The following is a 23713-nucleotide window of genomic DNA, read 5'->3' on the forward strand; positions in this document are numbered from 1 at the left end:
AGAACACTGAAAATTGCAGCCATTCATTCTCAGGCCATTTGACACTTTCGATCGCCTTACAGATCAACGGTTACACAAGGACAGACTGAAAGCTGTCACTGAGCTAGAAACCAAACCTGCAACCCTCCCTTCCCTCTATAAAGACCCACCAGCTAGACTCATGGAGCCCAGGATGGAGGAACACAGGTTACCTGGACTGAGAAAGTAGGGTATTTCCAAATGTCAGCATCTCATTAGCAGATTAGAAATAACATACGCTTGACTAAATTTAGGTGACTCTTATTTCATGTTTAACGTGGCTACACTGCTACTCTTGACCATGGCACATCCTGCCTGCAAGGGGGGAAGAACATAGCTCTAGCCTCCCTGATAATTGGCTTGCATCTTTACTTGTTAGTTATCATGATAGCCCCAGAAGGTGTATTGTGAAATCAGGCTCATGGGGGTAAAATGCTTCAGGTTATGAGTCATGGGTAAATAACTATGTGATATATGTTTAGTTGCTTTCAGCTGAGAAACTTTGTATCTCTGGTAGTAACCTGATCCTTCTGATTCTTCTCCCTGGGAGTTTATTGACTGGACAGTGGGGGATATCTGTGGGGGTCAAGAGAACTAAATGGAACCCTCACATGGCTAAGAGATCTTCTGATATCATTTTATAATAAATAGTAGAAGACAAATTCTATACTCCACAAAGACAATGTATTAGTTTCCTATTGCTGCTATAACAAATTTCCGCAAACTGAACAACTTAAAACAATACAAATAGATATTACAGTCCTGAAAGAAATAAATCTAAACTCAGTTTTCATAGCCTAAGATCAAGGTGTTAGCTGAGCTGCATTCCTTCTGGAGGCTCTAGAAGAAAATCTTTCCTTTCCTTTCCTAGCGTCTAGAGGCTGTCTTCATTTTGTGGTTCCTGCTTATGCATCACATCACCATTTTTCCTTGATATCACCTTCTCATCACCTTCTGTTTTTTCCCAGATCTTCTTATCTCCCCTTTGTGAGGACCTCTGTCATTACGTTGGGGCCAGCTGGATAATCCAGTGTACTCTCCGCAACTTAATCACATCTGCAAAGTTCCTTTGCTATTCAAGGTAACATAGTCACAAGTTCCAGGGATAAGATGGGAACATCTTTGGCAGTATATTATTCAGCTGGCCAGTCATCAAGCAAACGTAGTCCATTTTATAAAACTGTTATTATTCATTAAAATTGAACACTTAAGTTTAAGAGAAAAACAATTTACATGGTTGATATGGTTTGGCTTTTTGTCCCCACCCAAATCACATCTTCAATTGTAATACCCAGGTGTTGAGGGAGGAACCTGGTGGGAGGTGATTGGATCATGGGGCCAGTTTCCCCCATCTTGTTCTCATGATAGTGAGTGAATTCTCACAAGATCTGACGGTTTTATAAGTGTTTGGCAAGTTCCTCCTTTGCTCACTTTTCTCTACCTGCTGCCTTGTGAAGAAGGTGCCTGTTTCCCCTTCACCTTCCACTATGATTGCAAGTTTCCTGAGGCCTCCCCAGCCATGTGGAACTGTGCCAATTAAATCTCTTTCCTTTATAAATTACCCAGTCTTGGGTACTTCTTTATAGAAGTGTGAAAACAGACTAATACAATGGTAGAATAAAATACTTGCATAGTAGACAAAACTCTCTGGACTATTTACATACATAACATGAATAGAAAACTTTATGCATTTTAATGGCCCCGAATTAATTAGCAGGAAAGCTTCACTTTTAATAATCCTGTATTAATGCTACAAAAAACTATCTCACAGTTTTTGATTTTTTAAAGTTTGTTTTTCTCTGATTGCTGAGATTGAATTTTATCTTATGTATAATGTCCATTCTGGTGTCCTTTTCCTGATGCTTTGCTTATGTTTTGTCTGCTTTTCTTTTGGGTTGTTCATTTCTTCACTCATTGAATTATATGTATTTTTATATGTTCTTAATATTGAACTTATTCAGTATTAGATATGTTGCAGATGCCACTTTTCTGTCTATAAATTAACCTTTAAATTTGTTTATAATATTTTATAGCAGAATTTCTTTTCTTTTTTTTTTTTTTGGCTTAACACGATATAGATTTATTTCTCAGTCATATCAAAAAACAGTGCAGGCTGGAAGGGGGTTCCATCTCAGATGGATACACAGGTCCAGCCTCCTTCCATCAGGCTCCACGCTCTCCTCAGAGTTCTCCGCTGGATTCTCTAAGCCAAGCTGGAAAAGAGAGAGCATGGAGGATTGTGCAGAAGTTTTTATGAGTCAGGCCTAGAATGGCATGCATTACATCCAGCCATAGTCCACTGGACAGAATTCAGTGACATGGTTGCCCGTAACCACAAGGGAGGATAGAAAATTGTCATCTGGTTATACGCTTAGGAGGAAAATGAGTGATCAAATAAACAATTATTCAATCTCTGCCATAGACCTCCAATCTGGTCATCAAATATTTGTGTAATCTTCCTCTCATAGGCAATCCAAAGGAGACAACCCCAAAGTCCCTCAAAGCCCCACCCAGTCTCTGCACCCAGATTAAGTCTAGGATCTCCAAGGACTGCATGGTCCCCTCCATCACATCTAGATGTGACCTCTTCGAGTCTAGAGACCTGTCACTTTGGATTAAAAAACGAATTTACCTGCTTTGCTTTGCATTAGCCCTCCCCCATATCAACCCAATATACTATGATGGGTTAGGGGCAGGGTATTCTCAATAGAAACTCTCACTTATAAAGGGATAGAAGAGAGATACAACAACATTGGCCCTTAGCTAGACAGTCAGTAAAAAGGCTCCCTCCCCTGGGATAGAAGAAGTACTTTAGTTACACCCTAATTCTGCAATCTGGGAAGAACTCATTTCTCCTTCATTCTCTAGGGCCCCTGGTTTGGCCCTTTGTGGTGTTTTTTTCTAGTCTATAATTTCTCTGTCCCTCTCTGAAGTCTGGAGAGCTGGAGTATATGTGCTTATGGAGTTTATGTGCTTAGAGCTTTTACAGGAGTGAGGCAAATCTGGAAGTCCACCCTGGCCTCTCAAAGTGCTGGGATTACAAGCGTGGGGTTTCACCATGTTGGCCAGGCTGTTCTCAAACTCCTGACCTCAAGTGATCTGACTGCCTTGGCCTCTCAAAGCGCTGGGATTACAGGCCTGAGCCACTGTGCCCAGCCTATTATTCATTTTCACAAGAATCTTGTGAAGTAGATACTTGTATCAGTTAGGGATACTTGTATTAAGTCAGAGATACTTGATACTTGTATTAAGTCAGAGAGGCAGGACCTCTAGGAGCCATGCAGAATAAGGAATTTTTATTGGGATTTGGCCTTATGCAATTGTAGGATCTGGTTAAACAATGTATGTGTGACGGTTTTTTGTTTGTTTTTGTTTGGTTTTGTTTTTTTGCATCTGGTGCTGGGTCCTGAAGTGAGTAGGACAAGCATTAGGGAACTGTGGCTGTTAGTCTCTACGATGATGGCCCCAGTGATTCCTGCTTCCTAGTATTTACACCCTTGTGTAGTCCCGTCTCATATGGTACCAGTAGCAATCTGTGTGACCGACAGATACAGCAGTAGCGATGGCATGTCACTTCTGAGATTGGGTTATAGCAGAATTTCTAATATTAACTTGGTCAGATTTATCCATGTTTTCTCTACACTATGTGCAATGTGCTATCTTTAAAAAATCCTTTCTACCCTCAGGTCATCAAAATTTATCCTACGTTGTTTTTGCAAATTTGGGATCCTTTTTGTTGTTTTTAAAAAATTATAACTATAATATTTTTATATGATCTAATACTGACATAATTTTATTTCTGATAAGATACCCAGCCAAGGCCGTGCACAGTGGCTCACGCCTGTAATTCCAGCACTTTGGGAGGCCGAGGCGGGCGGATCACGAGGTCAGGAGATCGAGACCACCCTGGCTAACACGGTGAAACCCCATCTCTACTAAAAAATACAAAAAAAATTAGCCAGGCATGTTGGTGGGCGCCTGTAGTCCCAGCTACTCAGGAGGTTGAGGCAGAATAGGGTGAACCCAGGAGGTGGAGCTTGCAGTGAGCCAAGATCGCGCCACTGCACTCCAGCCTGGGTGACAGAACGAGACTCTGTCTCAAAAAAAAAAAAAAAAAAAAAAAAAGCCTAGCCAAATTTTCTAGCATCTCCCTAGGTGACTGTCTCCTTGGAAATTTGAGCACCACCTCTATTCTCTGCAATTTTTCATATTTGCCTCTGTTTTGAGTTTCTATATAATGTTCTGGTAATCTGCTTGTCACTGTTTCAGTCACTGTATCTTTCCAAAAAATAAATAAATAAAAAACAAACATAAGGTTTTATTCTCATAGGATTTGTCTCTTTTTTTCTGTTTTCCCCTTAAGAATTACTTCAACTTTTATTGGAATTTCAACCAAACCCACTAATTTTAGAATTACTTTGTCAGGTTTCATGAAAAAACACTTAAAATTTCCACTGAAATTACAATGAATTTATAGATTAGCTTGAAGTGAATTACAACTAGTCTCGTCACTCCATCCACAAATGTAGCTAATCTCTAAACTTATCACTTTTTATATATTTTAAAACCCTTAAAGGCTTGACATTGTCTTCATAAAGTTTTTGTAACTGAAATTTTAGATGGATTTCTCAGTACCCTGTCATTTGTTGCTATTACTAATGAAATAGATTTTCCTGACTACCCTTGCAATTGGCTATTCCTGATGTATGTAAACACTATCAAATATTATATATTGATCCTTTCTCCAAAAACTTTACTGAATTAACACTAATTTATAAATTTGGCTAGTAAATTTCTTAGATTACAATGTACAACCTTTTATCCACAAATAATAATTGTATCTCCTCCTTTTAAATAGCCTGCCTGTTTTCCTTCCTTCCTTTCTTCCATTTTTTTTGCTTATTGTGTAGGATGTGACTACCAGTAGATTAAAGAACAATGGTGATGATGGCAGACATACCCCTATTGTTTCTGATTCTAATTTGATTTGTCTTCTAAATTTAGACCACTAACTGTGATGTTAGTAGTTACCATGTATCAGATTGACATGATTTGGCTCTGTGTCCCCACCCAAGTCTCATCTCAAATTGTAATCCCCATGTGTTGAGGAAGGAACCTGGTGGGAGATGATTGGATCATGAGGGCGGTTTTCCCCATGCTGTTCTTGTGATAGTGAGTTCTTACAAGATCTGATGGTTTAAAACTGTGGCACTTCCCCCGCTCTCTCTCCTGCTGCCGTGTAAGACATGCCTTGCTTTCCCTTTACCTCCTGCCATGGTTGTAAGTTTCCTGAGTTCTCTCCAGCCATGGGGAACTGTGAGTCAATACACTTTTTTGTTTATAAATTATCCAGTCTCAGGCAATTCTATACAGCAGTGAGAAAATGGACTAACACACAGATTAAGGACAATGCTTTCTATTTCTGTTTGGGATGAGATTTTAACAAGTATGTTACTGGATTATATTAAAAGCCTTTTCCATATCTATTTAGGAGATTACTAGACTTTTTAATACATTACTTTTAATATATTAATGAAATGATTACATTTGTTTTTCATGTGAATTATCCTTATGATTGTGGATTAAAATCTACTTATTTATTTATTTATTGAATTTATTTTGAGACAGAGTCTAGCTCTGTTGCCCAGGCTGGAGTGCAGTGGTACAATCACAGCTCACTGCAGCCTCAACCGCTTGGGTTCAAGCAATCCTCCCACCTCAGCCTCCCTAGTAGCTGGGACTACAGGCATGTACTAACACAGCTGGATAATTTTTGTATTTTTTTTTTGCAGAGACAGGATTTTGCCATATTTCCCAGGCTGGTCTCAAACTCATGGGCTCAAGTGATCCACCCACCTTGGCCCCGGTAAAGTGCGGGTATTACAGACATGAGCCACTGTGCCTAGTCTGTGTTTCTTTTAGACAATGTTAGATTTTACTTGCTAGTGCTTTGTCTAAGAATTAACATAAAATTTTTATCCTTTATAATCCCAGTTGGGTTTTGATATTAGTTTTACGATCCTAAACAGAATAGGATACATTTAGCAAATACTGTGACTGTTCTATGAAGCCTAGTAAAGTGAAACTGTGAAGCTGACTGAAGTCTGATTTTTTTATGTGGGGTGAAAAAAAAGAGAGAACAGAAAGTTTAACTAAGTCACTAGTTCTCCAGCATTTGGTCTTATGACCATTTTACATGCTTATAAACTCTGAGGACTTTAAAAAGTCTGTTTCTGCTAGTTATATCTATGAATATTTGCAATATTAACTTTAGTCAGAGACTATCACTTATATAATACTGTTTTTCTGAAATTTTTTGAGAATCTCTTTGTGGCCTTGTAATAAATAAGTTTATACAAGTGTGTGAATAAGCACTAAAAAGAATGTATATTCTTTGGGTGTTGGATGAAAGATTTTATATACATTTATTAATTTAAGCTTATTAATTTTGCTGTTCCATTATGGTATAGCCTTACTAACACTGTTGTCACTTTCTGCCTTCTTTATATGTTTCTAAATTTTCCAAAAGTATAATTATTTTCATTTTATATGTCATAAATCCTGGTTAGGTTGTTAAATGCATAAAAGTCTTGAGAGTTATATATTCTTAGCAGATTGTTTCTTTTAACATAAAGTGATGTTCCTATTTCTTTTGTATTTTTGGTTCCTATGTACTAGACATTTCAACTCTTTATTTTCAAAATTTCTCTAGCCTTAGATTTTAGTTGTCACTTTTATTAACTCCATATAGCTAGTTCTTTTTTAATCTTATTTAATGCTCTGTTTTAATAGGTGAATTTAGTAATTTTACTTTTATTGTATTACTGATATATTGGACCTTGACCGAATCTCCAAGTAGTTGTTGTAGCCTTTACTTCCACAGTCTGTACAGATATACCAATACACCATTTCCTGGGCTAATATTTTCATTTGCACATCTCCTATTGTTTATTATCCAAGCTTCATATAATATATATACACTTCTCAATACAATGGCTTTGTCCAGTGTTTGCATAGAATAAAATTATGTTTCATCCACAAAACTCATACAATGTTTTTCACAAAATTAAGTAGGGGAGAAATCTAGAGTTATTTTTCATATACATTATTAAATGGGATGACCTTATTACTATAGATATTCTGAAAAGTATTTGGAGTGTCAAGAAAGCAGATTCACATCCTGGATGTCAATGGCACTGAGAAGGCAACTTGTACATGTTACTGTGTAGAAGACTACTGGTTGTTAGCAACCATATTAAAGTTCATAAGCAATGTGTATAGCATGGTTTGTTATTGGAAAGCACATTGCCATATTGTGCACATTTTAGGAAATTGATAAGTTCACAGGTAAAAGACAATAACTTCTTCCCGTTTAAAAAGTAGGAAATAGCTTTCCAATTAGCAAATTGCCTAAAATGTGGGCAAAACATCTGATTTTTAAAAACAGATTACAGATATTAGGTAACAGATGTCTGTATTCAGTTCTGACATTTCAATTGCTCAAAGTGGTTTCGTTTCTCACTCACTGCTGTAGTTTTGTAATCCACTAAAGTAACGGTACCCCAAAATGTTTCTTTTCTAACTTCTGACCTCTGCTATTTGTTTTAACAAATTTTATTATATTTTATCTCACCTGGTTAGTAAATCACCTTGAAAAAGTGTGAAATTATTTTAAAAAAAATGAAAGCTAAATAAGCCCTTTTAAAAAAGAAAATGAGAAGCTGGGCTTTTATATAGGAAATTTAAACAAAAGAGCTTGAAATTCTACAAGAGACATTTGAATAAGTGAAGCAGAATTTATATAAGATACATTTAACGTTTCGTTATATGATGCATAGATTTTGAAATGTTTCTGCCACATGTTTAAAAAAACTAATAGTATGAAAATTGGATTCTAGACATAATATCAAGTAAAAATAATGTAGTTTCAAATGTTGATTATAGACTGCTAGAAGACAATAAGATTGAATATCTTCAAGAACTTGGGGAAGAAAAAGATAGCTTAAACCGGATGAAAAAAATAGTAATAACTATAGTGAAATCAATGAATTGAACTACATTAAAATTAAGAACCATCGATTATTAAAAAGACACCATTGATACAGGGGAAAAGAAACTGACAATGTGAAAGAAGATATTTACAACAAATATAATTGGTAAAAGAGTTATATGCAGATTATGTGAGGAATTCCTTCAAATGGACAAAACAATGAAGCCATTTAAAAAGAAAGTGGGAAAATATTTGAACAAGTCCTTCACAAGAAAAGGATTTCAAAACTTCACAAATGTATGTATAAACATCCATGATCCAGTTGTAGCCAATGGCCATATGAGGGCAAGTCTTATTCTGGGGATTCTCAAAGAGTTTTCTCTACTTCTGAAAGAGATGCACAGAAAGATGAAACCATTCTGCAGATGAATGGTGGTGATGGTTGCACAACCACAAACAGTATGAATATACTTAATAACACTGAAATGTACACTTAAAATTGGTTAAGATAGTAGATTTTTGTGCATTTTTTCACAATAAAATTGGGAAAAAGAGAGCTGCATGGAAAAAAACCACACTAAAAAATGCCCAACTTCACTAGTCATTAGGACAGTGCAAATATAAACCCTAACAAATATGTATCTACAACAATTACTAAACATTTAAAATTTAGAAACCCTAAATTCAGGCTGGGCGTGGTGGCTCACACCTGTAATCCCAGCACTTTGGGAAGCTGAGGCGGGTGGATCACCTGAGGTCAGGAGTTCTAGAACAGCCTGACAAACATGGAGAAACTCCGTCTCTACTAAAAATACAAAATTAGCTGGGTGTGGCAGCACTTGCCTGTAATCCCAGCTACTCAGGAGGCTGAGGCAGGAGAATCTCTTGAACCCAGGAGGTGGAGGTTGCAGTGAGCTGGGATTGAGCCATTGCACTCCGGCCTGGGCAACAAGAGTGAAACTCCATCTCAGAAAAAGAAAGAAAGAAAGAAAAGAAAGCCTCAATTCATTGCTAGTAGGAGTACAAACTAGCACAATCACTTCAGAAAATCTTTTTGTAGAATCTACTGAAGCTGAATACACAAATATCCAATGACCTAGCAGTTCAAATCCTACATACATGCCCAACAGAAATATGTGTGTGTATATATGTGTGTACATATACGTAAATATGTGTGTGTATATTATAAGCTCTTTCTACACATAGACACACACACATATAAATAAATATATATATAAATATACACACACATACATATGTACAAATATATATGCTGGAACACATCCACACATATATGTGTGGATATACATATGAATGAGTATCAAAAGGCATATACAAGAATGCTCATACTAGAAACATTCAAAATATCCTCATGAATAAATTACAAATTGTGATATAGTTACACGATGAAATACAATGTCAGTAAAAAGAATAAACTTGCTACACAAAATGAAACAGATGAATCTCATGAACCTAATTGAATGAAAGAAATCAAAACAAAAGAAAACACTGCATAATTCTATTTATATAAACTTAAAAATGGCAAAGTATCTATGGTATCAGAATAGTCATTATCTTTGGGCAGGAAGAAGAGTATAGTCCTTGAGAAGGGGCACAAATAGACTTCTGGGATGCTGATAGCATTCTGCTAGTATTCTGCTTCTTATCTGGTGTCTTAGCTTGGGCTCTTCTCGAAAGTAGACCCTGAAATAGGGATTTGGATGCATGTAATTTGAGAGTTGATCACATAAAGTACAAGTGAGGACATGGAGAAGGTAAGACAGGGAAGAAGGGAAAGCAAGCAAAGAAAGTTGCACTAATGAGCCGATGCCACTGCAGACAGTATGGGCTTATTCTTGCTGCTGTTAACTCTCTGAGAACCATTTGGAACAGGTTTGTCCTGCTCATGTTTCACTGGAGGATGAGGATGGAGGATGAGGATGAGGAGGATGAGCAGTCTGTGCCACCTAGGACCAGACTCCCAACCTGTTGTTTGAGGGTTGCCCCATGGGAATTAACCACCCACGTCCTCTTTCTATCAACAGTTTTTCATTGTGACAGAGAAAGTGCAAGACCCCATCTTTCCCACATGCAGTTGAATCCAGGTGGGCTGCAGGGCTATGATGCACAGCATCAGTAATGCCTGTTACAGGCTGTGTGCTGATTGCCTGGCTGTGACAATTTCTCATGCCATCTCCTTATGACTAGTACGCTTTTATGTATAAGTGTTACACTTCAATAAGAAGTTTATTTAAATATTGTTCAAAGTAAATGCATGAACTATGAATGCAGTGTCATTCCAGAAAAAGGATAATAGCTGAGATGCCTTATATTTAAGAGCAAACCCTTCTCCCAACTACTCTGGCTCAAGTTTCAAGGTGATCCAATCAGCTAGTGTTTGTCTCAATAATAGCAGCATCTCAGAGTCCCTTACATGACAAAGTTTTGCCAATATAGAGAATGATGCTGGCCATGCAATTCAACCTGTGCTTACAAACATAATTATTCACTCGGTCACTCAGTCACTCCCTTGTTCATCGAGTATTGAATACTCATTCAGTGAGTATTCAACTGACCATGCAGTTGGTCAAACACTGCATGTGGTTCTGGTGATAAAATGATGAGCAAATTCTTCCCCCACCTTCAAGGCATTCATAGACCAGTAAGGAGGAGAGATATGTCACCAATTAAATATGACAGAAATAGTTTAGAAATAAAACAGCAAGCCTGGGTGTGGCGGCTCACGCCTGTAATCTCAGCACTTTGGGAGGCCGAAATGGGTGGAACTGCTTGAGCCAGAAATTTAACACCAGCCTGGGCAACAGGGCAAAATCCTGTCTCTACAAAGAAAAAAATATATACAAAAATTAACTAGACATGGTGGGGCATGCCTGTAGTCCTAGCTACGCAGGTGGCTGGGTCAGGAGGATCACTTGAGCCCAGGAGGTTGAGGCTGCAATGAGCCATAACTGCACCACTGCACTCCAGCCTGAGCAATAGAGCAAGACCCTGTGGGAAGGGAAGGCAAGGGGAGGGGAGCGGAGGGAAAAGACAAACAGGTAGGCAAGAAGGAAGAACAGCAGCATAAGCAAAGTTCCCCGAGCATCAGTTTTGTCCAAGACGTCTGAGAATGGCATTGCAGAGACACTTGAAGGAGGAGAAGATTTTGGTGAGATGAAAAAAGCAGGCAAAGACGACAAATGTAAACAAAGACAGGAGGCTGCGGGTGCTTTCGATTGAAGGAGGATGTAATCAAGTATGGCCCAACTCTACACGGTGGTGTGGGTGGTAGGGAAATGAGTTATGGAGCTGATGTGGTAGGGAGAGTCAGATGGTAAGAGGTCTGAAATTGTACATTATTGTAACCAATATTTATTTTATACATAAGGTAGAATCTTCAAAAGTTTTGTAAGTAAGTGAGGAAGTGACATCAGCAAACCCCTGTCTTAATAAGCAGAGACATTAAGTGGAGGATAACTTGGAATGAAGAAAAACTATAGACAATGAGGTCAGTTGAGAGGCTACTGAAATACTTCAAGGAAAGGCAATATGGGCATCTACTTAGTAGAGTCTAGAGGTAATATCTCTATAAACGTCCAAGTTTTACCATTATGTGTGGTCCTAGCACCAGACAGACTATAATGTGCTATTCAAGTAATAAGCACCCTTGACAGACAAGTAAAGGGAAAAATAGCCCTCTCTAGGAACCTAAAATATATTTACAGAAGTGAGACAAGGCAAAGAAGCACAATTTAAACACCCTGATACAAAATCCTGTAAAATAATAAAAGAGAAAATGAGCAAATAAAATAGAGCTGAATGTGTAAGGAACCAATAAAGCTATCTCTAGTGACTAAGTTATTAAATTAACACACACACACACACACACAAACACACAAAGAAAATGAAATTTTTGTGAGAAAAATTTCTTGGTGCATTTTTTTTTGTTTTTTGTTTTTACAAAAAAAGGAAAGGTCTAAAATATAATTAATAGCAGATTAACAAGTCAGAAAAGCACAGGGCTTTGCACGGAATTTTAGGAATATAATTCGTATATATAAAATGTATAGACTAAATAAAAGAAAACAAATTACTAATATGCTTTGGGAAAAAAGTTGAACTTCCAATAAATAGAACTATTTTCTAGGGGAAAAAATAAGTACATGCAGCAATTCTAGAAGGGGAAAAGGACACTTAACAAAGCTGTTAAAAATCATAAGAACAATGGCAACAAAAGCCAAAATTGACAAATGGGATCTAATTAAACTAAAGAGCTTCTGCACAGCAAAAGAAACTACCATCAGAGTGAACAGGCAACCTACATAATGGGAGAAAATTTTTGCAACCTACTCATCTGACAAAGGACTAATATCCAGAATCTACAATGAACTCAAACAAATTTAAAAGAAAAAAACAAACAACTCCATCAAAAAGTGGGCGAAGGATATGAATAGACACCTCTCAAAAGAAGACATTTATGCAGCCAAAAAAAACACAGGAAAAAATGCTCATCATCCCTGGTCATCAGAGAAATGCAAATCAAAACCACAATGAGATACCATCTCACACCAGTTAGAATGGCAATCATTAAAAAGTCAGGAAACAACGGTGCTGGAGAGGATGTGGAGAAATAGGAACACTTTTACACTGTTGGTGGGACTGTAAACTAGTTCAACCATTGTGGAAGTCAGTGTGGCAATTCCTCAGGGATCTTGAACTAGAAATACCATTTGACCCAGCCATCCCATTACTGGGTATATACCGAAAGGATTATAAATCATGCTGCTATAAAGACACATGTACACATATGTTTATTGCGGCACTATTCACAATAGCAAAGACTTGGAACCAACCTAAATGTCCAACAACGATAGACTGGATGAAGAAAATGTGGCACATATACACCATGGAATACTATGCAGCCATACAAAAGGATGAGTTCATGTCCTTTGTAGGGACATGGATGAAACTGGAAACCATCATTCTCAGCAAACTATCGCAAGGACAAAAAACCAAACACCACATGTTCTCACTCATAGGTGAGAAATGAACAATGAGAACACATGGACACAGGAAGGGGAACATCACACACTGGGGACTGTTGTGGGGTGGGGGGAGGAGGGAGGGATAGCATTAGGAGATATACCTAATGCTAAATGACGAGTTAATGGGTGCAGCACACCAACATGGCACATGTATACATATGTAACAAACCTTCACGTTGTGCACATGTACCCTAAAACTTAAAGTATAATAATAAAATTAAAAATAAAATAAAATACAAAAAAAATCATAAGAACACACACACATACCTATCTGTACATTCAACAGGTACTTCTCACACACCTCTTATTTGCCAGGCACTGTTCCAGGGCTGGAGATACAGCAGTGAATGAAACAGATACAAATCCCTTCCTCACGAAACACACATTATCATCCACTTTGCAATCAATCTATTCCTTACATTTCTAAAACGCAGTCCGATCTCACCCCCTGCTTAAACCCTCCAGGGGTGTGCCAGCATGAACCCTCACTATTCTCTATGTAGCCCAGCCAGACCAAGCCCTCCCATACCTCTCTAATCTCATTTTCTTCCATCTACTTCCTTGCTTTCAATAGTCCCACTATACTAGCCTTCTTTATGTTCTTCAAATACTTCAAGCTTATTTCTATTTTAAAGCTCTGTCTCTTGCTTTTCCCTCTGCCTTGCAAGACTTGCCCCAGATATTCACATGATGCTGCCTAAGCCCTGCAGACTCAGCTCAAGTATTCTCTCCTTGGTGACATTTTCTGGACTGCACAAGCTCAGAGCACTTAGCACTTTAAAATTGTTTTATCATCTCCTCTAAGCTCCACAAGAGCATGGAGCATGTCTATCACATTCAACAGTAGAGATGCCTAGTGCCTGTAAGTGCTTGACAAACAGTAGATGTTCAAAAAGGACTGCTGTTACATGACCGAGTATGTGTGCATATGGTTTAGTGAGAGAAGGTCACTTGAAAATTGCAACTTAGCCAATTGCCCAGCCATGAAAATTTAAAGAAGAATAAGCTCTTTCTGCCAATTCATGCTGTTTGTGCTATGCCCTTATGTGGCAGGTTCTCAAATCAGCAACGGGTATTTGGTGGCAGAATGGCAGTGGTGATTTTGGTGATGATGATGATGACTAAATGAGTTTTCCTGCACTGTACCCTCAGATAACAAGTCTGTACACAGGCCAAAAACCTCAACCAACCAACCTCCAACTAACGGTCAGAAAAGATAGAAAGTAAATTCTTTTCTGCTCCTGAATTTTAATTGTGACTTGCAACGTACATGTGTTTCTCCTTTATCTTCTCTAAGCGCAAGGCACTGTCAGTTTTCCTCAGCGGCTTGCTACAATGAAGTGTGTATGTCTATGCATATATGTATTCATTCCTCAGGATTTTGAGTGAAACTCCAAGTTTTATTTACACTCGCAAAGCTTCTACAAATTTGTAAAGCCACAAAACTCAAGGCTGACTCTAAAATCTTTAGACATGCCATTCCAATTTGGTGGCAATCAGAGTTCAGGTCATATTTATGTGGCTTCTTAGTCCCAGCAATATTTAAACTTCAAATGCTGAGCATCGTATGTACAAGCATGATGCAGTGCAACCTGAACCTGGAAAAAAAAACACTCCAGCACCTTTGATTGTCCTGTTGATTGCAGAGTGGTGAACCCATGTACACTGACTTTTCAATCAACCACTTTTTGCCTCAGTCGGCTCAGAAAGAGAACTTCAGCTAAATAAATATTTCTGACAATTGACCTGCAGTGCAACAAGACGCTCACAAAAGAAAAAGGAAAAGATACATCTAAACTGCCTGTCAGCTTTTCTTTTTCTGATAGAAAGTAGAGCTTCAGATACTCTGAGAAAGATTCCAATTTGTACAATTTGTACATACTGGTGGTAGCAGAAAATAAAGCCAAACTATAAGGGAGTTCAAAGTGTCACTCATTTTACAATTAAAAATCAAGGACATCAGGAAGGAATGAAAATAACTCACTTGTATAGAGGCAGTGAAAACAACATTCACGTCACAGATATAGCCATTTCCATCTCCACCCTCCTCATTACTCAGGCTGAAAAATGGAAGAGTGAGGCTGTCTTACCCAGGCTGAACTCTTCCCTGCAGCCAGAGAAGGGGAGACAGTGGAGGAACCTAGCTGTGTCAAGCTAGCTCTGTGACCTTGGTAGGTCACCTCATGGCTGCACCTCTCTTTTCCCATCTACGAAATGCGGAGGTGGAGATGAGGATTGTAATTCCTGTTAATTCTAATATTCTAATAGTTTGTTTTTCACAACCTGCAGAAAAACATAAGGGAAAACAACTTGATACTTCTATTCTCTCCTTTCAATACAAGTAATACATGAATCACTTAAATTCAAATTGAAAAAGAACAAATAGAATTTCACCCCTTCTCCCTATTCCTAGTTTTCTCAATAATGTGTTTTAAATCTATTTCCATATCTTTCAGGACCCAAGGATATTTCTTCCTAATTTCCACCTCCAAATTTGCTACTTCATGGCACTTACTTTTTAATGAGTAAGCTTCTGCTTTCTTCAAGAAGCTATCTGAGAAGGTGGGGTCAGAGAACCAAAAGATATCATTTATTCTCTTAGGAATCTGAGACTATAAATATTTTGTTATGGGTGCAGATTCTTTTAACCTGAAGTTTAGATCATGTTAAATAGAGAGTATCTGCCTTAAAACAGCTTGACATGTGACCCCTATATTTATAACCCTTCTAACTTAAAACTGCAGTACTCACCAAAACTCACATATACCATTGCCAAAAGATTGCTACTTAAGTATGTTTTCCATATTGGGACACATAAGCCAATCTACAACCATGTATATACAATGCAAACATTTATTTCATAATTACTTTTTAATTTTGTAGATCTTCTTCAATTTGTGAATTTCCTTTGCTTTGCTGTACTTGAAATGGACAGCACATGCATGGCCCATAAAATTAAAAACCAAAAAAAGTCAATGAAATCTTTTATTTGGGAAATTAATTCTTGATGGTTTGAGTCAACAAGAATCAAGAATAAAAGATTCTAAATCTACTCTGTGAGATAAAATGGTCCCATTGCACAGTGAGTGCTCTCCTTCAAGGCAAGCAAAGAGATGCTTGAAGCCCATGATAGTGCTAGGCCCATAGAACCAATGATGATAAGAAAGCTGTTTTGCTAATGTAGGAAATAGGAAAACTTTTTATTCTATTGTTCTAGAATCAGATGATGTAAATTCCTATACCTGTATACTAGACAGTTGAAACAGTCTTGGTGACACTGATACCACAAAATTTTCTCACCAAACAACAGAACTTGGCAGGCCTAGTATCATATTCAGCCATAGTTCAATCATAAAGGAATTTGGAAAAAACTCTGCCCTAAGTTTGGTCAAGATCTTGAAACTTTATGCTATAATAAGTATCACTGAAACTGTGACAAACATTACACACATTACACATATCCTAGAACTAAAAGTTTCTTTCGTGGTTTGAATTATTGGATCCAAAAATTTTAGCATTGAAATTCTTATTGAAATGGAAAAGTAAGAACTGTTGAAGATTTTTTTAAAAAAGAACTAAGCATGAAAACCATACTTTAGCTAACAGAAAACTTTTCAGTATTCTCCTAGATATAGATACAAGTAAAATAAGCAATGCCAGCATTCTGGAGAATAGTTCTCCCCTTCTCTGTTGCTATTCCTACTTTATTGCCTTCATAGAAACTTTCCCTCTCTGACATTGCCAGATTTGCTTACCTATTCCATGTATAATATCTATCTTCCCCTAATAAAATGTAAGCTCCATGAGGACAGACACATTATGTCTCTTGTTCACCATCATATCCACAGCAAACATTTGAAAATAAAATAATTGAATAGACGAATGTATAAATGTATGAGGTAAAATTTGAATGTAGTACAAAGTTTCTTGACATGATGAAGCATGCCTGTATTGCTACAAATAAGGATAAGTAGAAATACAAATAAGTAGAATAAATAGGAAGAGAGTCATCTTTAATAAAACCTGCCTAGCATTTTAAGAAGCCTCAAATAACTTGTGCAAAAAAGTTACCAATATTATTATCCAATAATATGTTGGATAATATATTACTACATAAATAAATGTATTGTGCCTTATAATTTAAATACTTGGTGGTATACGATTAAAGCATTCTTTAAAAAGCATGTATTTCTGTTTGACTTGTTTTCTGATAAACTATTCTATTTAAATAGTGTGAAATGTGCTTTTAGAACCTAAGTACAGCATACATAACATGAACACCGTCTATTTCAGAAATAAAAATTCAGTTTACCATTGTGGGACTTAATTCATTAGTTTTTGATGTTTTAAATTAGGGATTTCTTATTTACAGTTTTTTTTCCTACTTTTTCCGTTAACATGATCCTATTCATGTTATACATTTTATAACTATCATTGCACTGTATTCTAAATTATGTTAGGTAAGTATGTTATGAAAGCATAACTAGATAAACTGGACTACATCAAAATTTAACATTTCCTCATCAAAGGACACAATCAACAGAGTGAAAAGGCAACCCATGGAATGAAAGACAGTATTTATAAATCATATATCTTCAAATCACCAAACAAATGAAGAGCTCCTACAACTCAAAAACAAATAGTTTAAAAATGGGCAAAGCACTTGAACAGACTTTTCTCCAAAGAAGATATACAAATTGCTAAGAAGCATATGAAAAGAGGCTCAACATCATTGTCATTAGGAAAACGCACAACAAAACCACCATGAGTTACTACTTCATACCCATTAGGACATCCAGTATGAAAACAAAAAAAAAAAACAGGACATACCAAAGGATGACGAGGATGTAGAGAAATTGAAACTCTTGTACATGATTGGTGGGAATGTAAAATGGTACAGCCATTATGAAAATCAATATAACAGTTCCTCAAAAATGTAAAAGTTACCATATAATCTAGCAATTCCATTTCAAGGTATATGCCCAAAATAATTAAAAGCAGGGTTTCAAAGACAGACTGTACACCAGTGTTCATAGCAGCATTATTCACAATAGCCAAAAGGCAGAAGTAACCCACGTGTCCATTAATGGATGGACACATAAAACGTAGCATATACACGCAATTGATTATTTAGCCTCAAAAAGGAAGAAAATTCTGATACTTGCATGTATCACATATGTCAGCTCTATGTATCAGCATTTATTTGTTACCCATTATCAGACTTTGGTTTCTTTAGGTCATGTGTAATGTTTATCTATTAAAAATAATGCAGCAATAAATATTTGAATGACTTAAGCCTTTCTCTGGATTTTGTATTTGATTTAACCTTAGGCTAGCTTCTTCTCGGGCTAAATTAGTAGGTCATAGACTATAAACATGTTTGAAATTCTCTACTCACAAGAATTTATTTTTAAATGTGTTAAATTAAGGTTTAGGAAATTTGCCAGGACTTACTGGCTACAGGAGGTATCAAATATTAGATAAATATATCTGCAATCGTTTTTCAGTATTTCCAGAAGATACTATGTTTTGAATTTAAAAATCTTTAATGAACCTTTTATATAGAAAATATATTTTGATAGAATTGTTATTAAAGATATGCCTCAAGTTATGCAATGTTATGTATAAAGACTCTACTGGTGAGATCTATAGGTGACTTATGGTCAGAAAAATATCTGTCTCTTTTTCGATTTTGCTACCGGGCAGCACCAAGTTGGGCCTATTTTTGTGTTTAATGACTGCCATGTTCTTCGCTCAGAGTTTTGTTACAATATTTCCCTGTCTTCCGTTTTTTACCTGGGAGGATAGAGATGGGAACTACAGACCACGAACAACGCAGGAAATTTTATATACATCATTCCATATAATCCACTTGACAGCTGTGTATTATGTTTTTTTCAGATTCCCTTTCCACCAATAAAACTGATGCACAAAGTTTGAGTGGCTCGACTTTTATTACAGAGTGATTCTTGGCCTTATTATATTCAAGTTTTTATTGTATGTTGCTCCAGGCCTTTTTGGAAATAAAGAGGGTGCATAAATAAATAATGTAAACTAGTATTTTCAACATCAAAACATCATTTCATTTAACGCTGAGCACTGAAGACTAGTAGAATGTTACAGCCAGAAGAAAATCAATCATCTTTTCAGCCCCATCCTTTGACAAGCAAAGGCCCAAAGACATGACCTAAAGGACCCATAGCATATAACGGGCTGTTAGCTACATTTCTGGGTCTTCTTTTTCAAAATAGAGTAAAATTATTTTTTGTAGCTCATTTTCACTTCCTGTGCAAGAATCTCATTGCCTATTAGTCTCAGGATGCACGTATTACTCCCAAGGAAAGAATGAAAGTGAGATTTAAACAAATTAATAAAATCAGTTTGTACTAGAGTATAATGCAACTACATGAACAATAGACATTCAAACTTTATGTGCAAAAGTCTTTCTTCTATTCTGCAATACATTTTACATCATCCAATGTTATAATAAAATCTCTATTCTCCAGGCTTGTTAGCTGTTTTATTCATTTATATCCTTGAGAAAAAGGGACAATTTAAATTGATACAATTTAACCTACTTCTAGAATTTATCCTAAGGAAATCAACAGAAAATGTACCAAATAAATATCCATAAAATGTTAATAATAGTATTTACTTTATTTCATTTAATTACAGTATTTTTAAAGGGAGAAAAGTAAGAATTGTGTAAAATCTCAAACAATAAGATTATTTAAATAATGATACATCACACAAAGGAGTCCTGAAAAGCAATAAAAATCATGATGCAGAACTATATTTATTGACATGAATAAAGGATAAGCCCATTTATCTAAACAAACGGATATTGCTATATGTTTTTAGGCCTATCAGTGTATCTTCAAAGAAACTCTAAAACACACTTTGAATTGTCTATAACAGGACTATGAATGAGTTGCCTTTATTTTTTATGTTTCTCTTTTTTTCTGAGACAGGATCTCACTCTGTCACCCAGACTGGAGTGCAATGGTGCAATCATGGCTCAGTGCAGCCTCAACCTCCCAGGCTCAAGTGATCCTCCCACCTTAGCCTCCTGAGTAACTGGGACTACAGGTGTGTGCCACCACACTCAGCTAATTTGTTAAGCTTTTTTTGTAGAGATGGAGTCTCACTATGTTGCCCAGGCTTGTCTCAAACCCATGAGCTCAAGCAATCCTCAAACCTCAGCCTCCCAAATTGCTGGGATTACAGGTATGAGCCACTGCACCTGGCCTTCTTTATACCCCACAAAACTTTTCTATTTCTTACCTTTTCTGTTTCTCTGTTATCTTCTTGTAATTATATAAAGAGCAGATATTAGTTTATAATCAGTAAAAAGAAAATAAATCTACTTTTATCCAGATAAAATTATATTAAGTATTTAAAAACCTATCTAAAACTAACTTACCATATTATCACAATGAACTTGATTTGAAAAATCCCGGCCGGGCGCGGTGGCTCACGCCTGTAAGCCCAGCACTTTGGGAGGCCGAGGCGAGTGGATCACGAGGTCAGGAGATCCAGACCATCATGCCTATCACGGTGAAACCCTGTCTCTACTAAAAACACAAAAAATTAGCCGGGCGCAGTGGCGGGCGCCTGTAGTCCCAGCTACTCAGGAGGCTGAGGCAAGAGAATGGCGTGAACCCGGGAGGCGGAGCTTGCAGTGAGCCGAAATCGCGCCACTGCACTCCAGCCTGGGAGACAGAGCGAGACTCCTTCTCAAAAAAAAAAAAAAAAAAAAAGAAAGAAAGAAAAATCCCAAGTAGTAATCACAGATTTTTACAAACACAATGCACTAAAAAAAGTCAATGAAGCCAATAAACAGAGTTAAAAATTGTATATGCTATTTTTTGATCCAGTGAAACATACTCCATGTTTCTCATATGCTGTCTTGTTCAACCTGCCTTTGTGACTGGTAGGAAGAATAATGTCCCCACTCAAAGATGTCCATATTCTAATCCCTGGAAACTATGATTATGCTATTTTACATGGCAAAGTGAAGTTAAGGTTGCAGATGGAATTAAGATGGCTAATCAGCTGACCTTAATATAAAGAAATTATCCTGGACTACCCCAGAGGGCCCAGCGTAATCACAAGGATCAAATGTAGTAGAATGAGGCAGAAGGTCAGTGCCAGAGTGACGCAGCCTAAGGAAAACTGGACCAGCCACTGCTGGCTTTAGAGACAGAAGGGGGCCATGAAATGAGGAATTCAGGGAGATTCTAGAAGCTAGGAAAGGCAAAGCAAGGAAATGGATTTTCCCCTAGAGCCTGCAGAAGAAAGGCAGCCCTGCCAAAATCTTGATTTTAGCTTAGTGAGACCCATTTCAGAGTTCTAATCTCCAGCACTGTAAAATAATAAATTTGTGTTGTTTTAAGCCACCAAATTGTTGGTAAATTGTATTACCGTGATAGAAACTAATACAGACCCTGGTATATTCATGTGATGATTTTAAAATTAAATGTAAAGGTTCTACTCCTCCGATAATACTAATTAATACTAACATATTATTGTCATAAATATGAAATACACCCTTGGACTAGTCTTTATGCTATTACATATCATCTTACCTCGAAATCTACACACATACACACACACTCATAGCTTGGATTCATTCCTTTATCATTCATTCATCTCCTGAGCAAATTTTTTATATTATCTTAAAAGCTTCCACTCATTCTAAGTATTCTGATCTTTTACAGAATGTTTGACAATGACATTTCTCTAACTTTCCATTACTACCCGTATCATCTCCTCAGTTCTTCTATTAAGCCTGACCAAAGTACGCTCCTGACACCAGATTCTCCCTGACATAAAAACCAGGGGAGTTGGCCGGGCACGGTGGCTCACGCCTGTAATCCTAGCACTTTGGGAGGCCGAAGCGGGTGGACTGCCTGAGCTCAGGAGTTCGAGACTAGGAACACAATGAAATCCCGTCTCTACTAAAATACAAAAAAATTAGCGGGGCGTGGCAGCGTGCGCCTGTAATCCCAGCTACTCGGGAGGCTGAGGCAGGAGAATTGCTAGAACCCGGCAGGCAGAGGTTGCAGTGAGCAGAGATCGCACCACTGCACTCCAGCCTGGGCGACAGAGGGAGACTCCGACAATAAAAACCAGGGCAGTTAGAGGAATTAATGTGCATCTCCTGATAAGAGCACAAGGGGGAGCACTGTCCACAGAGTAGCACTTGGTCTGAAAGGCGGAGGCAGGAGCAAAGCGCAGCTTTGGTTCCTAGATTCCTGTTGGCATCATGGGTTCTGACACAAAACCACCCACAGAGGTCCCCCACGTTTCCAGGTGCTGTCCCAGGCCAGGCTGCAGCCTACTGCAGAATTCTTGTTCAGGGTGAGTGAAGTAATCACAAAACCACAAATTCAGAGCCCAGAACCACATACATCTTCCTTCTCACAGTCTCTTCCTGGGCTTCTCCTTCAAACCTTACATATCTAAAATGTAAGACTACTGTCCCTTCCTTGAACAATGAGGTTACTTGGTCACCTTCCTAACAGTAAATTTAAATGCTTCCAAAATTCTGTACCATCTAGAATCCCCTGACTCTCTTCAGAAAACTTTCTGGTATCTCTCCCTAGACCAAAACAAACCAAATGGACAAATAAAAGCAAAAAGAAATTCTCCACAGTGCATCTCATTACACATGCTTACTAGAATATTTATGTAGCTTTAAGCAATAATTCATACCTCCCAATGTGTCTCATTTGTATTATTATCTCAAAGTAATTGTGTGATTTGTTACCTTTTTCTTTTAATAAAACATTTCATTTCCTCATTATGCTACCTATATAAGGCCAAACAAGTTTCAGAAATAAGGCAATGCTTCATGGTTTTTTTTGTTTTTTGTTTTGTTTTGTTTTGTTTTGTTTGAAACAAGAGTCTCACTCTGTTGCCCAGGCTGGAGTGCAGTGGCACGAGCGATCTTGGCTCACTGCAACCTCCGCCTCCCAGGTTCAAGCGATTCTCCTGCCTCAGCCTCCCAAGTAGCTGGGATTACAGGCCCATGCTGCCATCCCAGCTAATTTTTGTATTTTTAGTAGAGATGGGGTTTCACCATGTTGGCCAGGCTGGTCTCGAACTCCTGGCCTCATGTGATCTGCCTACCTTGGCCTCCCAAATTGCTGGGATTACAGGTGTGAGCCACTGCACATGGCCTTATGTCTTTACTCACCCTGTTCATGAAGGATAGTGTTTAACAGTTGAAAGTTTAAGAGTGTCCTTATCTTTCTTTCCTACATTGTTGTGGAAACTTTCAATGGTAAGTAAATTTTCATTGCCAAGCTTAATTTTCAAATAGCTAAAAGCATTTTACAAATATACAATATATATATCAAAGACTTATTTATTTCACAAGTGAGGCAACCAGGAGGATGATAAAGCTGGTTCAAATAGCACTTGAGAAACAGAGATTCATATATCCTGTCAAAGAAGATCTGCTGAAATAGGCTTGCTAAGTTAGAGAAGAGATGGGTTAATCTTCTACAGGACAATTAAACTATAACCATTGGGGTTATCTATTCATTTGCATCTGTACTAGAAAATTTCTTCTCTATGAGACAAAAATCTACAAATTAACATGTCAACTTCATAAAGCCTGGGCCATAATCAATAGTAATCAATCAGTAGTAAT

The sequence above is a fragment of the Homo sapiens genome, chromosome 3 (assembly GCF_000001405.40).
Source record: "Homo sapiens chromosome 3, GRCh38.p14 Primary Assembly".
Classification (NCBI taxonomy): domain Eukaryota; kingdom Metazoa; phylum Chordata; class Mammalia; order Primates; family Hominidae; genus Homo; species Homo sapiens.